At 35.9% G+C, this 18,403-nt stretch overlaps 1 long non-coding RNA gene and 1 pseudogene across 1 annotated transcript in view, besides 2 other annotated features; one reads left to right on the forward strand and one right to left on the reverse strand.

Moving 5' to 3' along the window:
* The window catches only part of LINC00648 (long intergenic non-protein coding RNA 648), a 30,062-nt gene extending 13,626 nt beyond the window's left edge, over window positions 1–16,436 (reverse strand). Inside the window, exons 1-2 of the long non-coding RNA NR_039996.1 lie at window positions 16,394–16,436; window positions 11,328–11,365 (exon numbers count right to left, since the gene is read on the reverse strand). This is a non-coding gene — a long non-coding RNA (long intergenic non-protein coding RNA 648). The remainder of the gene's footprint in view (window positions 1–11,327; window positions 11,366–16,393) is intronic.
* Window positions 15,865–17,176, forward strand: LOC100420098 (kinesin family member 20B pseudogene; annotated as a pseudogene).
* Window positions 16,060–16,561: an enhancer, noted in NCBI's record as "OCT4-NANOG-H3K4me1 hESC enhancer chr14:48263841-48264342 (GRCh37/hg19 assembly coordinates)". NCBI's record gives its function as "activates a minimal SCP1, AML or CMV promoter by ChIP-STARR-seq in naive H9 embryonic stem cells {active_cell/tissue: H9 hESC(naive)}" and the evidence as "EXISTENCE:reporter gene assay evidence [ECO:0000049][PMID:30033119]".
* Window positions 16,562–17,061: an enhancer, noted in NCBI's record as "OCT4-NANOG-H3K4me1 hESC enhancer chr14:48264343-48264842 (GRCh37/hg19 assembly coordinates)". NCBI's record gives its function as "activates a minimal SCP1, AML or CMV promoter by ChIP-STARR-seq in naive H9 embryonic stem cells {active_cell/tissue: H9 hESC(naive)}" and the evidence as "EXISTENCE:reporter gene assay evidence [ECO:0000049][PMID:30033119]".

The following is an 18,403-nucleotide window of genomic DNA, read 5'->3' on the forward strand; positions in this document are numbered from 1 at the left end:
GCCAAATATTATAACATCTTCAAACATCAGGTAACTTAAGGTGTATGATTTGAAACTGATAACACATAATTTCCAAAGAGCTCTGTATAGGTAAACAGTGGTGATGCAGTGAGCTATTTGTGTCGAGTATTTATTTCTTTGCTGTCTAATTGCTCCAACTCCCTAGACGTTAGGAGTCTATCACCTGCTGTTCCTCAGCTGCTAAGATCAGAGAATATAACACAGATGGAGTGAGCTATGTTCTCACGGCTGCTGCTTCACAGAGATAAGGCTGCAGGTTGGAGAAGTGCTCAGCTCTGCCTTCCTCTGAAAGAGCCTGAACAGCTATCAATAATTCCCAGTTACTCCTCTACCGTTATGTTAAACAACACTGCCTTGCATACACAGGTGCAATTAGATAAAAGAGAGTTGTTTAAATCACTTGAAATGCCTGTAGCTTTATTATTGCAGATCTTTGTGTTGTCTCTCGTCTTTTCTTTTTTTAAAAAACCTCTTTTTCCTGCCCACTCCCTCCCCCAGGTCTACTGCCAAACTGCAATGATTTAAGAACCTGGTTAAAATATTGGGTCACATTTCTTCACCAGTTGCCTTGAGCGTGTTTGGGGAGCTATTCTTTAGCCACCCTTGTCATTCTGCTGTCATTCACAGCATTATATTTCTAGGTATGAGAACATTGCAAAAATCAGTTATGCTCATTCAGGAACATGTATTATGTCTGGATATGATCTCACAATTAAAATAAACCAATTTCCAGCAGCCAGGGTATGGTAGCTGCAATCCCTTGTATCACTGAAATTTATACAGTTCTTAATTTTATCAAAGGACAAAGATCATTTTACCTCCAACTCCTAAATATGCAAATACAAACTCTCCACACCCTCTCCTGACACTGGAGAGTGGTAGAAAGGGTCGGACTGTGCTACTAAATCGGGCTTCATATAATTCACCATTTTGATCAGTTATCATAATTGACATCAGCTTTTGCTTCCTGTGAAGCAACACATGGAATGCACTTAGTACAGGGCCTCCTAGCCTATTTTCAAATATCAACTACTGCTGATTACCAATGTATTTTCGGCCCTTTCCCTCCTGATATGTCCTTGAGTATCAAGTTCAGTGGCTGTTTTCCCCCACTCAGCCTAGATACTCTGGGATTCTTTGAAAATAAGCTGATATGACTTTCATTAGTGTCTCCACACTTTAAAAATTTATCACGAACACTGGTACAAGTGTTCTTTATTATATAGAAACAATGATAAGGGATTCATTGTCACAAGATTTTTAAGCAGTGAACTGATTAAATACTCATTGCTTGGGTTAATTTTACATATTTAAAATGCTTTTTTTTTTTTTTTTTGAGACAGAGTCTCACTCTGTCGCCAGGCTGGAGTGCAGTGGCACAATCTCTGCTCACTGCAACCTCCTCCTCCCGGGTTCAAGAGATTCTTCTACCCCAGCCTCCCGAGTAGCTGGAAGTACAGGTGTGTGCCCCCACGCCCGGCTAATTTTTTTTTTTTTTGTACTTTTAGTAGATTTGGGTTTTCACCATGTTGGCCAGAATGGTCTCGATCTCTTGACCTCGTGATCTGCCTGCCTCAGCCTCCCAAAGTGCTGGGATTACAGGCGTGAGCCAATGCACCCAGCCAATGCATATGTTTTTTAATAAGTGTTTCTCATACTTTTCCTTAATCTCCTTTATCGTACTAGCATCTTATTATTTACTGTTGATACAACATTCTGATTTCCCCTCTAAGCCCAAGGTAAGCTGCTTCTTACTAAAAACCAATCATTTTAGAAACAATTAAACATGACCAAGCAAAGACTGAGCTTTATGGTCACACTCTGTTATGTAAATGAGGTAATTTAAAACAAACTTAGTGTTTTTTTCTTTTATATTTAAGCTTATATTGTTTTACCTAGATGTTTAAGCAACTCTGCCAAATGTACAGTTCACACTGTATCATAAATACTATTACAAATTTATTAAAATTATTTTCTGACATTTATGTAGTATATATGCATATATATTTTAAACTTTAGTTTAATTAAAAGGTGTTAAATAATTAGTAAACCTTAGAAGTAAATTATTTTCCGGATTAATGAATTTCTAATTTTATATAAAATTCAATTGGAAAATAGCACTACAGTATTCTCTTAGCAGACCACATCTTCTGTTTGCTACCTAAGAGATAATCTACAACCTCAAGTCTCTATGGTTGTGTACAATTCATCTGAGCTCATCAGGCTTACTGGAGAGTCAGGTTTCCCTCTGTGATGCAATATTTCATAGACTAAGCATCTTTACCATTTCCCCCGGATGTTCATGGTTTCACACCTTGGAATAGTAGAGGCCACCAGGCTCCTCTAGCCCATAGTGTGTTTCCACATTGACATCCTCCCAGTGGATACCCCAGTCAACAAACACCAGCAGCACCGGTTATGGCAGCAGTTTATTTTAGTCTCCTCGATGACCCAGAATTTCTTCTTTCCTTCAGTAACTGGTACTTCTAGGAAAAATACCTCTGAGAAAACCTCCTTATCTCTTATGATCTCTTGGTAGCTACACAACTCATTATTACTTTCTTGACTCCATGTTAAAAATTCATGTTAGGCATGATTTTACAAGCATTTGGTGTCCTGTACAATGTCATTAAAGAAGGAGTATCTGTAAGGGGAAACGTGAGATATTTTCTGTGAAGTTGGAAGACACGGTACTCAAGACCATCCTCACTTTGAATACCAGTTGTATGTTTGGGGGTTTCCCAAGATCACTCTCAGATTTAACAAGTCACTAGAAAGACCCAGGGAACTCACTGAAAGCCGTGATATATTCATGGTTATGGTTTATTACAGAGAAAGAATATAGAATAAAATCTGCCAAGGGAAGAGATGCACAGGGTGGAGTTCAATGAAGTGGGGGTGTGGGTGTTTCAAATGTGAGGCTTCTATTATTTTCAGGATGCATTACCCTCCTGACATCAATGTGTGACAATATGCATAGAATATTGCCAACCGAGGAGGCTCCTCAGAACTTTAGTTTCCAGAGATTTTACTGGAACTCTATGTTTGACTGCCCACATGGCTGACCTCTAGTCTATGGACTGTTGGAGGCTGAATGGATACCATGTGGCCCAAAGACGTCATCATAATTCACATGAACAGCAGCACTATTTCAATTTATGACATGTAATATGTATGGATCAGTGGAGCTTGTGGTTTTCATTGTTCTGTGTGTGTGAGGGTGATGATAGAAACCATGAATTATTTTGCCTAATGACAGTATTTTAATGCATATCTTTTGAATTTAGCAGGCCAGTAGATTTTTTGTTGATTCTCAGATCAGCTGAGGTCTCCCTAGCACCTCCGATTTGAGTTTCAGAATCCTATATAGATAATATTCTAGGGAAGTCCATTGACTCAGATTTTATTGGTTTATAGAAACATGATTGTATTGTATTTATTTGGATTTGAATATAAGTAAAATATTTTCCATGGTAACTCTTTTTTTCTAGGAATATGTGATATCTCTCTAATTATTCAGGTCTTGTTTTACATTTTTAAGTAGAGATTTATTACTTTCTTCATAACAGTCTTGCAGATTAATGTTGTTTAACCCTTCTTTTATTTGTATTGTGGGAAAGATACTTGTATTCGTCTGTTTTCCTGCTGCTAATAAAGGCAAACCTGAAACTGGGTAATTTATACAGGAAAGAGGTTTAATTGACCCACAGTTCCACGTGGCTAGGAAGCCTCACGATCATGGCAGAAAGCAAAGGGGAAGCAAGACATGTCTTACATGGCAGCAAGCAAGAGAGCGTGTGCAGGGAAACTGCCCTTTTATAAAATCATCACATCTCATGAGACTTATTCACTATCATGACAACAGCACGGGAAAAACCTGCCCCCATGAATCAATTAACTCCCACTGGGTCCCTTCCACAATATGCGGGAATTATGGGAATTACAATTCAAGATGAGATTTGGGTGAGGACACAACAAAACCATATCAACACTTTTACATTACTTTTAAAAAATCTGTTTATTTCTGATATTATAGAACTACAGTATAGAGCAGGGATATGGCATAAGGTATAATATATCTTGTCTTGAATGTTACTGTATTCTCTCATAAATTTGAATATAATGTTAATGTACCTATATTTCTATGTATTATTAATAATAAAAGCTATCATTATTAACATTCCACTACTAAGATGACTAAATTCTTCAATTTTCTACTATATTTCTTAAAATAATAATATAAATAATAGTTGTTCAATTGGGCATCATTTCTTTGTTCTCTGTTAATAAGGGGTTTTCTATTGATTCATGATATTCTTCAATAGGGTAAATATCTTGTGTCCTATTCTTAGTTTGTCACATGATTGTTTTTTAAAAATTAAAAATGCATACTGATTTCAAATTATTTTTTCATATCTTAAAATATATTTGTAGTTTTCTTTTTTAATCTAATAATATGTATTTTTATTATTTCCTACTTTCTCATAACATTTAAGACTTAATTTTTGTAGAAAAATTTTAGCTGCATTGTGTAATATTTTTATATGTTGTATTCTCAGTTTTGTTCAATTCTAGTTTATTACATACTTTGATTTCCTGTTTATTTGAATAAATATTTGGAAATGTAAAACATTTGATCTTTATTCCATTTCTTCCTTCCCTCCTTTCTTCTTTTCTTCTCCTTTCAATTTTCTAATACCACTTTCCAAAACTGAACAATTTGTGCTAAATATTTTTGTGTTTGGCTTTATAATGTTGTTGGATTTTTAAAATCCAAAACATTGTTATACTGGCAAACACTATGGTTTGCTTAGTTAATAGGTGTTCTCCAATTTTGCATACCAACAAAACTCCTTGTTTTGACTCCAAAGTTCCCAGTTGCAGAGGATTCATTATCATTGGTTTTGGTCATAGAAACCAATCTTATTCTCCTTGATAAATCCTTGCTTTCATGACTGTCCTGGCTGCTAGAGCTGGGCATGTGACCTAGTTCTGTCCAATGAGTTGTAACTGGAGATATCCTGAGGAAGCAATTGGAAAAAGAATATCCTCTTAGATAATAAGGGGATAACAGATGGAGATAGCTCCTGCTTCTTCTGCCTCCTGCCCTTGAATAAAACCTAACTCTGCAGTGGCTGAAGCTGTGACAATCCTTTGGTCTCCCAGGGAAAAACAAGAAAATTATAATAGAAACAGCTTAACGTCTATATATGTACCAACTTTTCTTGATGTTAGTTGCAGTCAGGTCATTAAGTTCTGACGAAAGATATGCAACTTTTGATATTTTTCCTCTTTCTAGTTTATCCTGTTGCATACAGCTCTAGCTAAAGCAATTTTTTTTACCTTAAGGTGAATTGAAAATGGAATTCCAAATAAAAATGATGTAACAACAAAAGAAAATGTTAGATATCCAATTCTGTAGGGCATCTTTCAGCCATGGTTCATGTATCTGAACTTTTACACAGTAAATAATTAAATTTCCATATTTTTAGCCAGTTTTTATTTTGAATTTTCTGTCCCTTAAATCCAAAACTAATCTTAACTAATACTGGTGTTGACTCAGAATCCTGATTTTTGTGAGATGAGTAAGGAAAAGCGTGACTGCTTAACTTTAGGTTCTTGTTAAGTGAAATATTTTCTTACTTCATGGTTGGTTTTTCTGTTGCTTATAGGAAAAGTGTTCACTATAAAAAATAAAGACTTCACAGATATAGCCATAGATTTGATAATTATCCTTATTTGTTATATTAATTTCTCTACGTGAGGAGAAAAGGAACTGCCAATAACCTACAGAATTGATACTTCTGGGGTACATTTTGAAGCATCATATTTGAAAACAAACCTACTGACCTCTGTTGCTGATTTTCATAGGCAGAGCTTTTAAAGAAAGTAATCTCCCTTATAATATAGCATTTACATTTCCATATTTCATAGCTATAATATAGTTTTATAGCATGATAGTACAATTTCTATTTAATTTGATACCTGACTTAATATATGTGTATGTGTATTTATCTATGTGTTTAAATTCTAATATTCAAAATTGTTCCAAAAACACAATTCTGCCCTTTGTGATATGATAAAGCCCAGATAGAAAGCTCTTAATTTTTGTCATTCAAACATCTACACTTTAATGCTTAAATAAAAGCTGTCATCCAAATATAAAGCATTCTCTGGAGATATTACATATTTTAAAGATCATGGCTAGTGGACTGAGTTTAGTAAATTAATACGTAAAAAGTTAATTCTAAGTTAATTTCATAAAGAATGTCCAGGGGACAATAAGTAGCTTGAAGAAGACATTGTTCAGAAAAGTAGAAAGTTGTTGCTTTTTCCAGCTGGTTGATATTTCAGGGTCATTTTGTATTTTAAAATTGCCAGTCTTTCTACCACTTGAATATCTTGGAGCTGTGTATATGAACATAGTCAACTCTTTCATTGCCTTGAGCATTGCTGGAGGATATTCAAGCTATTTGCTGATCTCTAGCTATGTTTTAACCAAACTTTATTTTATAAAGAGTCCCTAGGTGCAACTATGAGGCATTTTTATGCCTCCTTTGATTGATTCTTCCAGCCATAGCCCTCGGTGATTTGGTAATACTTTAAATCCTTGCCTAAGTTGTTTCACTATTAGATAACCAGTGTGTAGACCTGCCAGAATATTTGTATTCCTTTCTCTGTGGCCAAGAACTGACTTAATGTTCCCTGAGAGAATTTCATTGTTTGATGGCCCTCCTCATTCTGTTTTCTACGGTCTGTGGTTTTACACAAAACTTATTATCTTTGAAGTTAGGCCTCATCTTCTTATCCTTCTAATCCTATCACCTCCAGTTTTTTTTTTCTTAGAGATGGAATTAAAAGGCAGTCATACCTGATTTTGAAACTAAGCCCCACTAGTGTTTGACTAAGGCTAAGAAACTGACCTCTTTACCACAAGTTCCATAAACTGCACATTGTAAAAAATAAAGTTGTGATGTAATAGTGCCAGTCACATGGTAACTACTTAATAAACTTCAGTTTATCTCTTTCCCTTTTACTCATATTGCAATTATAATTTGTTCTTTTGTATTGAAGAACTAATGGACTTTTTAATAATAAATATAGTCTTCAGTCAACATTTATTGCATATGTATAATCAGATTTAATCAATAATTTTTTTTATTGTTTTTGTTCTTGAGTTAACTGGTTGCTAATTTGTAACTCAGAACTTTTCTGATTAATAGGACAACTATGCATTTTTTAAATAAGAAATACATGGTTGAAATAGAGCAATACCAATTTGTTACTACATTTGGATGAGTGTGCACATTTTTGAATTTATTGAATAATAGTAATTTTTATGATTAAACCATTCATTAGTACTTTAGAATATATTAACCTGGAGTTTTCAAATTTATATTCAAGGCGATTGTATGTTAAAATGCAAATATTTTATATTCAGGTTTTGTAAAAAATATTGTTTTGCCTCTCTTAAGCTTTAAACATTGATTTAAATAAGGTCTAAGTAATCAATTTATTAAGTGATCAATCTTTGTATTCAACATGACTTTTATGTTCCCAAAACTATCTTAATCTCACCTAGAATTTTATACTTACACTTCAGGATTCTTAGTTCCATAGCAATATTGTTCTAGTTTTACATACAGGAGAATTTTGCTTTTAACTTGTGGTGTAAAACCATGATATTTTCTTAGCAGTTAACCATGTTTGTTTGTTATTTTAGCTACTGTAAATTGGATTTATGCCTGGGATTTAGTAAGCCCAGGACATAGAAACTGTGTGTGTGTGTGTGTGTGTGTGTGTTTGTGTGTGTATATACATATACATATATATATATACTATATATATATATATATAGAGAGAGAGAGAGAGAGAGAGAGTTTTTTTTTTTTTTTTTTTGAGATGGAGTCTCGCTCTGTCACCCAGGGTGGAGTGCAATGGCGTGATCTTGGCTCACCACAACCTCTGCCTCCTCGGTTCAAGTGATTCTCCTGCCTCAGCCTCCCGAGTAGCTGAGATTATAGGTGCCCGCCACCACACCCAGCTAATTTTTTATATTTTTAGTAAAGATGGGGTTTCACCATGTTGGCCACTCTGGTCTTGAACTCCTGACCTCAGGTGATCCACCCGCCTCGGCCTCCCAAAGTGTTGAGATTACTGTGTGAGCCACCATGCCTGGCTGAAACTGTCTATTTTTCTGAGAAATTCCAATATCATGGGCATCCCAATATTTTTAGAAAAATTAAAAGCTTTTATTCCTAAATAAGCTTATAGAAATAAAAAAATTGCAATTTTTTAAAAAAATTCAAAACATTTTTCATTAATCATTTTACAAAGATACTACTGGGAGAATTAGTCCATTAAAAATAATGGGTGATATCTTCTTCTTCCACTTAGAACATAGAGTTGCAAGAGGATTGTCTCTTCAATCCTAACCACGCGAAACTTAAAGTCATAGTTTCTTAAGCTCATTAGAGATGGGAGCATGCAAAGAAACCTACTAAATTATAACCCACACAGTGATTTGCTTAGAATAGAAGTGATCCACAAATGCTTTAATCTGTGGCCAAACAGCTGAATAATGAAGAAGCCACCAAAGCTATGAGCAAGAAGAAAACAGTTATACTTTCAATGAGTTGTTAAAGACTAATAACAGACTGGTATGACAGAATCCCTAGGAGACATAGATGAAAAATATCTGCAACTATCCGCCAACTCTTTCCCACAAGCCTTATTGAGCTCTCATGAGAAAGATTGTGGGCAGCACAGGAGAGCTGAGACAGATTCCATGGGAGGTTCAGGTGTGTAGGGCCTGCTGAAGTCTGAGGGGAAGAAGTAGGACTGAGAGAAACCTCTGGACACTTCAGATACTCATCATGTGGTAATGTGATGAGCCTGCTAAAATGTGAGGGCAGAGCAGTATAACTGCGAGAAAGCCCTTAGGCCATGGTGCCTTATACTTAATAGGGAAAAGCACCTCTCTGTGCCTAGAGAACAGGTGAGAATGACTTCTAAAGGTGCAAAGGTACAGAGATTACTGAGGTCTGAGGACAATGAGAAAAAAAAAATGGAGGGCATCCCTATATGCACTCTGGGTCTGACAATAAGCATGCAGCAGATGCCATTTGTAGCTGGGTGTGGGGAAAGAAAGATGAAATAAAACTATCCCAAGTGCATGAGCATGAGATCTGATGACATGAAAATAAATGGCTCAGACACTCAGATCCCAAGTTTATTAAAATAAAGGTTCTAAAACTACCCTCAAATAATTTGAAACCTGTAGGGAACTAAATCTAACTGAAGCAACAACAGAGTTTAGACCTAGGTCAACTATAGGCTAGGTTGACTCAGAAGGAGCATGCCCTTTTATAGCCAAAAATATTTACGTCAGCATCTATTTTTTTTCACAAATTGTCCAGAACGTAAGCAAAATTTATTAGACAAATGAAGAGGAAAGAAAATGCTTCAGGAGAGAAGCAGTCAAGAGATGTGAGAATTATCAAACAGGGACTTAAAAATAACTGTAATAAAAATGTTAAACGGTCTTAAGGATAGGCCAGCTATTTTAAAGTAACTATGTGAAATATGTTAAATGACCTTGGGCAAAAAGCAGATGACAACAAGCAGGAACAGATGGGAACTACTAGCACAGCATATATTATAAAGAATAAGGTCAACGGAAAATGCTAGAAATTAAAAATATGGCAACAGAAATGAATAATTATTCTGATCAGCTAGCTTATTGGAAGACTGCACAGCAGAGGAAAGAATCAGTGAGTCAGTGACCAACAGGCAAGTAAGTAGAAACTGTTCAAATTGAAACACCAAAAGTAAAAGAGTGTATTACTCCATTCTGTCATTGCTATAAAGAACTACTTGAGACTGGGTAATTTATAAAGAAAAGAGTCTTAATTGAATTAAAGTTCCACAGACTGTACAGGAAGCATGGCTAGGGAGGCCTCAGGAGACTTACAATCATGGCAGAAGGTGAAGGAGGAGCTGGCACATCCTACATGGATGGAGCAGAAGGAAGAGTGAGCAGTGGGAGTTGATACACACTTTTAAACAACCAGCTCTCATGAGAACTCACTCACTACCATGAGAACAGCACAGGAGAAATCCATCCCCATAATCCAATCACTTCCCACCAGGCTCCTCATCCAACACTGGGGATCACAATTCTACATGAGATTTGAGTGGGGACACAAATCCAAACCATATCAAAGAGTAAATAAAAGAAAATGGAGCTTGCAAGATTAAAGGGATGCTATAAAATACAAATATTGAATATAAAATTAAATCATAATATGAAACATAGTCATTGAAGCTCAAGAAGTTGAAGTAAAATTGCACAGAAGAAACTATTTAAAGATAGAATAGCAAATGTTTTTTCAAAATTGGTATTACATCAATTCACAGGTTAAGCACAATGTGTATGCTGAAACTGTACGTGGACATATCATGGTGGAACTGCTGAAAAACAAAGGAAAAGAGGAAACAGTAAAAACTGGTGGAGGAAAAAAGACATTACATTCTTTAAGGTGGAATAACATTGAGACAATTGCTGATTTCTTACCAGAAATGATTGAAACCAAAAAAAATTAGAATGAAATATTTATACTGTTGGAAAAAAATTATGCATAAAAATTTCTATATTCAAAGAAATAATCTTGTAAAATAAAGGTAAAATAAAGGTATGTTTAAATAAAAGCTCAAAGAATTTGCAGCAATGCATTTCAAGAAAGACTAAAATAAGTTCTTCAGGCTATAGAAAGTGAATATCTATAAATCTAATACACATAAACCTAGAACATCAGAAAGATGTAAATATATAGAACATATTTACAAAAAATTTTGAAATATCTACATCTATGTTCATAACTTTATATCAATATTTGTATCTATCTCTTTAAATGTCTTTAAGATACTATGGACTGTTTAAAGCAATATAACAATGAACTGTGATATCCTGTAACATTTGTGTAATTAAATATATGATGAGAACACAAAAATCAGGAAGGTAATAATTCAAATTATATTTTTGTAAAATTCTTATTGTTTATAAAGTAGTACATTATTTTAGAAGCTAGATTGTTATAGATTAAAGATACATAAGAGAAACGACAAAATAAATAACACAAAGAAACACGACTAAAAATGAAAAGAAGAGATAAAATGGAATACTAAAAATATCAATTCACTCTAGAGATGAAAAACAAATACCATTTTAGTAGACTTAAACTCAAACATAGTAATTATTACATTAAAAGTAAATGTCATTTGGTTCTTCTAGAAAGTTTACTCACACAGAGTAGAAGTTCAAGATATTTTCTCACGGTAACACCTGTGAATAACAAACACGAGGGTCATTAGGAATAGCAGGAAAGCATTTCTATTGCCAATGTATTAATACTGGTAAAACTAGAAAGAGAAGGAAAACAGATTGCATAAAAAGAGCTTTAGATTGTAAAGTATCTTTTTCATCAACTTGTAGTAAGGATATATGCTAACAGCGTGACTTATTGTTGATGATATTAACTTTGATTACCTGACCAAAGTAGTGTTGAACAGCTTTTTCAACTGTAAAGGCATTCTCCTCTCTTCCACACTGTAGTTTTTGAAAGCAAGTCACTATTTGCTACAACCCACACTCAAGAGACAGTGTCTTAGTCTATTTGGGCTACTATAACAAAATATCATGAACTGAGTGGCTTAAAAATAACAGAAATTTATTCCTTACAGTTGTGGAGTCTTGGAACTCTTAAGTTCAAGGTATTGGCAGATTTAATGTCTGGTTAGGGTCCACTTTCTGTTTCATAGAGGGCGCCTTCTTGCTGTGTTCTTAGATGATAGAATGGGGTGAGGCAGCTATCTCACTGCAACCTCCACCTCCGGGTTCAAGCGATTCTTCTACCTCAACCTCCTGAGTAGCTGGGATTACAGGCATCTGCCACCACATCTGGCTAGTATTTTGTATTTTTAGTAGAGATGTGGCTTCACCATGTTAGGCAGGTTTGTCTTGAACTCCTGACCTCACATGATCCATCCACCTCAGCCTCCCAAAGTGCTGGGATTACAGGGTGAGTCACTGCGCCCGGCCTAGCAAAATTTCAAGTATACAATACAGTATTGTGTTAACTCTAGTCTCCATGCTGTACACCAGATCTTCAGAACTTATTCATCTTATAACTGAAAGTTTGTGCACGTTCATCAACATGCATCCATTTCCCCTAACCGCCAGGCCATTGTCCATTAGCAACCAGTATTCTACTCTCAGTTTCCATGAGTTGGATTTTTATGAATTCCACATATCAGTGAGATTGCACAGTATTTATCTTTCTGTGTCTGGCTTTTTCACTTAGCATAATCCATCCAGATTTATTCATGTTGTTGCAAAAGACAGTATTTCTTCTTTTTTATGGCTGATTAGTATTCCATTGTGTATATGTACTACATTTTCTTTATTTATTCATCTGTTGATAGCATTCAAGTTGTTTTCATACCTTGGCTATTATAAATAATGCTGCAATGAGCAAGAGAGTGCAGATATTTCTTTGAGCTAATGATTTTATTTACTTCGAATATATACCCAGAAATGATCGTTCTATTTTTAATTTTTTGAGGATTCTGCAAACTGTTCTTTGTAGTAGTTGTACCAATTCACATTCCCATCAGCAGTGTACTGGGGTTCTCTTTCTCCACATCCTCACCAAGAGTCGTTATTTCTCATCTTTTTGAGAGTAGCTGTACTCTAGGCTCATCTTGTGTATTCCCTGCTCATCTTTGGATTAGGCCATTTCTCCAAGGAATCTTGATTTATTTTATTGGAGAACAGTTTTAGAAACAAAGACCTGGTAGTTGAGTGTGTCAGTTTTACTGTAGTGTTGCTACTTCTAGGTCTTCAACTGATAGAACTAGAGAATATATATATGTGTACTAACTCATGTTTACACAAATATATATAATCATTTACCTACTTATATATTTGTATCTGTATTACGCTAGACATAAGTTCACACAGCTGTCCCTAACTCTAATCCATTACCACGTGGTTCATTCTAGTTTCCCCTGTCCTTGCCTATCTGAAACTGCTCTCCCAATAGAAATAAACCTGCCTCACAGCATCCACCATGTATTTACATATTCGTTCGACCCTACTCTACATATACAGCTTTTTCAGAATTGTTAACCCAGGTGGCTGTGAAAAACAACTATAGTGTTTATGTACAGTTCCTTTTGTTTCTAGTCTTAGAGTTTCCAATCAAAGCACCGTTTTCCAAAATTACTTGTCAGCTAGTTTTCTGCCCACCCTTTTCAGTGAGGATTTTCCATAAATTTGTGATACAGCTAGAATCTTTTCGTCACTATGTTCATTGCATACAATACAGTCTTCTGGTTAATTCCTTTAATTTGTATAAATTAAGGTTTACTCATTTTGTTGTACATCTTTTTTTTGTTGTTGTTGTTGTTTTGCGATGGAGTCTTGCTCTGTCATCCAGGCTGAAGTGCAATGGCGTGGTCTTGGCTCACTGCAACCTCCACCTCCCAGGTTCAAGCAATTCTCCTGCCTCAGCCTGTGGAGTAGCTGGGATTACAGCGGTCTGCCATCATGCCTGGCTAATTTTTGTATTTTTAGTAGATATGGGGTTTCACCATGTTGGCCACACTGGTCTCAAACTGCTGATCTCGTGATCCGCCCGCCTCGGTCCCCAGAGTGCTGGGATTACAGGTGTGAGCCACTGCGCCCGGCCTTTTTGTGGTACATCTTTATGGGTTTCAACAAACGCATAGCATTTTATATCCACCACTACACTACAATATGGATTAATTCCATTGAACTGAAACATCTTAGTGCCTCTCCTAGTCAAATACTCTCCCTTCCACAATCATTTGAATATCCTGATCTGTCTTTCAGTCCAACAGTTTTCCCTTCTCCAAAATGTCATACGAATGGACTTCAACATAGACTTTCAGCCTGACTTCTTATGTATAGCAACATCCACTTAAAGTTCATCTAAGTAGCTCCATGAGTTAATAGCTTATTTATTTTTATTACTGAGTAATATTCCATTATATGGATGTACCACTGTTTATTGATCCATTAATCCAACTACAGGATATTATTTCAACATTGCTTGAAATTTTTGGTGATTATGAATAAAACTGCTAAAAACATTCATCTGCATGTATTTCTTAGACATATATTTTCAAATCAATTGTGTAAATATTCAGGAACACGCTTGCTACCTTGTATGATAAATCTAAGTTATATTTAGTAAGATACTGCCAAACTACATTGCAAAGTGCCTTTTTGTATCCCCAGCAGCGATGAATGAGAGGTCCTGCTGCTCTGAGTCCTTGCCAGGTTTGGGAATTGTCAGTGAAGAGTCTATTTAGATCTTTTGCCTTGTTATTAATTAAGTACAAGCTCTTTATCAGATATATTATTTGTAAATATTTTCTCCCAGTTTATGACTTGTCTTTTCATTCTTGCAACTGCATCCTTCACAGAGCAAAATATTTTAAAATTTTATTTAAAGTTTAATTTTTCATTATGTTCTTTCATGAGTTATACTGTTAATGCTGTACTTTAAAACACACAGTCAAGCCCTAGGTAATGTAGATTGTTGTCCTATGTTTTCTTCTAGATGCAGAATTTCTTTTTCACTCTTTTTGCTGTAAGTTTTTATGTGTTTTGACCCTATTTGTGTAAGTATATTTTTGGAATCTCTATTGTGTTCCAGTGATCGGTATTTCTATCTTTTTGTTAATAGCAAACAGTTGTAATTACTGAAGCTTAATAACATGCTTTAAAATCAGGTAATAGGAGTCTTGCAAATTTTTTTTTTGAAAAATTGTTCTGATTATTTTAGTAGCTTTACCTTTCCACATAAATATTGAACCATCTTATGAACAGAACATCTACAAAAAGCTTGCTGAGATTTTTATTTATTTATTTATTTTTGAGATAGAGTCTAGCTCTGTCACCCACGCTGGAGTGCAGTGATGCGATCTCGGCTCACTGCAACCTCCGCCTCCCAGGTTCAAGTGATTCTCCTGCCTCAGCCTCCTGAGTAGCTGGGATTACAGGCACCCACCACCATGCCCAGCTGATTTTTATATTTTTAGTAGAGATGGGGTTTCATTGTGTCGGCCAGACTGATCTGGAACTCCTGACCTCACGATCCGCCCACCTCAGCCTCTCATCTTGCTGGGATTTTTATTGAGATTCTGTTAAATTAATAGATGGAATTGGGAAAAATTAACATCTAAACATTATGGAATGTTCAATTCTTTCTTTTTTTCATTGCTGAATATAAAAAAAAAATTTAAACTTAAAAAATACTAATTATAGTAGCATAAACATTGAAGCACATAGACATAAATATAGCAAAATATGTTAACATAAGTTTTAAGGAACAGAAATCAACAGAGTATGTTCTCTGACCATGTGGGAATTAAAATAGAAATCAATAACAGAAAGATAATTTTGACAAACACCAAATTTGTGAAAATTACTCAACATACTCTAAATTGCCATGAGTCAAAAAAAAAAAAAAAAAGAAATCAGTATTAGGAAATACTTAGAAATGAATATTAGTAACAACATGAATTTTCAAAATGTGTGAGATGAAGCTAAAGTGTATACTACAAGGTAATTTAGTAACTATGTTTACAAATCAAAAATACATGGAATTTATAATATATGTCTCAAATTTATAAAGTTAGAAAAAAGAAACTAAAGATAACAGTGGAAGTCATTAAAAATGAAAATGAACAAAAAGTAAAGAATGTCAACAAAGTAAAAAGGCAATACTTGAAAAGACTAGTAAAATTTGTAATCCTCTGGAAAGAGAAAAGCTACAAATTACCAAAATAAGAAATGAAATAATGGATGTCATTTCTCAGTACTACATTACTAAGAAAATGCAACAAATAATTCGGTGTGAATAAGTTTGACAACGTGAATGGAGTAGAAAAAAATTGTTTTGAATTTTTTGAAAGACGTAATTGGCACAAGACATAGAAAAATCTCAACAGTATTATTAATATTTAAAAAAATAAAATTTTAATGATGGAATCTTCTTGCAAAGATAACTCTAGGACTGTTTTGCTTCACTAGTGGATTCTAGGCATTTAAGAAAATGACAATATACTAATTATATTAGAAAACAGAAGAAAAAGAAGTATTTAAAACTTATTTTATTAGGCAAGTATGTCTTTGATTCCAAAACCAGACAAGGATACTCAAACAGAGAAGTATTGCAGACAAATACCTCTCATGAATAAGAGGCAAATATTTCTTTTAAAAATATCAGCAAATTGAATGCTACATATAAAACATATTACAAGAAAATATGGTTTACCGCACCTGGCTCGGAGGGTCCTACGCCCACGGAGTCTCCCTGATTGCTAGCACAGCAGTCTGAGATCAAACTGCAAGGCGGCAGCCAGGCTGGGGGAGGGGCGCCCGCCATTGCCCAGGCTTGATTAGGTAAACAAAGCAGCTGGGAAGCTCGAACTGGGTGGAGCCCACCACAGCTCAAGGAGGCCTGCCTGCCTCTGTAGGCTCCACCTCTGGGGGCAGGGCACAGACAAACAAAAAGACAGCAGTAACCTCTGCAGACTTAAATGTCCCTGTCTGACAGCTTTGAAGGGAGCAGTGGTTCTCCCAGCACGCAGCTGGAGATCTGAGAACGGGCAGACTGCCTCCTCAAGTGGTTCCCTGACACCTGACCCCCGAGCAGCCTAACTGGGAGGCACCCCCCAGCAGGGGCACACTGACACCTCACACGGCAGGGTATTCCAACAGACCTGCAGCTGAGGGTCCTGTCTGTTAGAAGGAAAACTAACAAACAGAAAGGACATCCACACCAAAAACCTATCTGTACATCACCATCATCAAAGACCAAAAGTAGATAAAACCACAAAGATGGGGAAAAAACAGAACAGAAAAACTGGAAACTCTAAAACGCAGAGTGCCTCTCCTCCTCCAAAGGAACGCAGTTCCTCACCAGCAACGGAACAAAGCTGGATGGAGAATGACTTTGACGAGCTGAGAGAAGAAGGCTTCAGACGATCAAATTACTCTGAGCTACGGGAGGACATTCAAACCAAAGGCAAAGAAGTTGAAAACTTTGAAAAAAATTTAGAAGAATGTATAACTAGAATAACCAATACAGAGAAGTGCTTAAAGGAGCTGATGGAGCTGAAAACCAAGGCTCGAGAACTACGTGAAGAATGCAGAAGCCTGAGGAGCCGATGTGATCAACTGGAAGAAAGGGTATCAGCAATGGAAGATGAAATGAATGAAATGAAGCGAGAAGGGAAGCTTAGAGAAAAAAAGTATAAAAAGAAATGAGCAAAGCCTCCAAGAAATATGGGACTATGTGAAAAGACCAAATCTACGTCTGATTGGTGTACCTGAAAGTGATGGGGAGAATGGAACCAAGTTGGAAAACACTCTGCAGGATATTATCCAGGAGAACTTCCCCAATCTAGCAAGGCAGGCCAACGTTCAGATTTAGGAAATACAGAGAACGCCACAAAGATACTCCTCGAGAAGAGCAACTCCAAGACACATAATTGTCAGATTCACCAAAGTTGAAATGAAGGAAAAATGTTAAGGGCAGCCAGAGAGAAAGGTCGGGTTACCCTCAAAGGGAAGCCCATCAGACTAACAGCGGATCTCTCGGCAGAAACCCTACAAGCCAGAAGAGAGTGGGGGCCAATATTCAACATTCTTAAAGAAAAGAATTTTCAACCCAGAATTTCATATCCAGCCAAATTAAGCTTCATAAGTGAAGGAGAAATAAAATACTTTACAGACAAGCAAATGCTGAGAGATTTTGTCACCACCAGGCCTGCCCTAAAAGAGCTCCTGAAGGAAACGCTAAGCATGGAAAGGAACAAACGGTACCAGCCGCTGCAAAATCATGCCAAAATGTAAAGACCATCAAGAACAGGAAGAAACTGCATCAACTAACGAGCAAAATAACCAGCTAACATCATAATGACAGGATCATATTCACACATAACAATATTAACTTTAAATGTAAATGGATTAAATGCTCCAATTAAAAGACACAGACTGGCAAACTGGATAAAGAGTCAAGACCCATCAGTGTGCTGTATTCAGGAAACCCATCTCACGTGCAGAGACACACATAGGCTCAAAATAAAAGGATGGAGGAAGATCTACCAAGCAAATGGAAAACAAAAAAAGGCAGGGGTTGCAATCCTAGTCTCTGATAAAACAGCCTTTAAACCAACAAAGATCAAAGAGACAAAGAAGGCCATTACATAATGGTAAAGGGATCAATTCAACAAGAAGAGCTAACTATCCTAAATATATATGCACCCAATACAGGAGCACCCAGAT

Source organism: Homo sapiens, chromosome 14, assembly GCF_000001405.40.
Source record: "Homo sapiens chromosome 14, GRCh38.p14 Primary Assembly".
Taxonomy (NCBI): domain Eukaryota; kingdom Metazoa; phylum Chordata; class Mammalia; order Primates; family Hominidae; genus Homo; species Homo sapiens.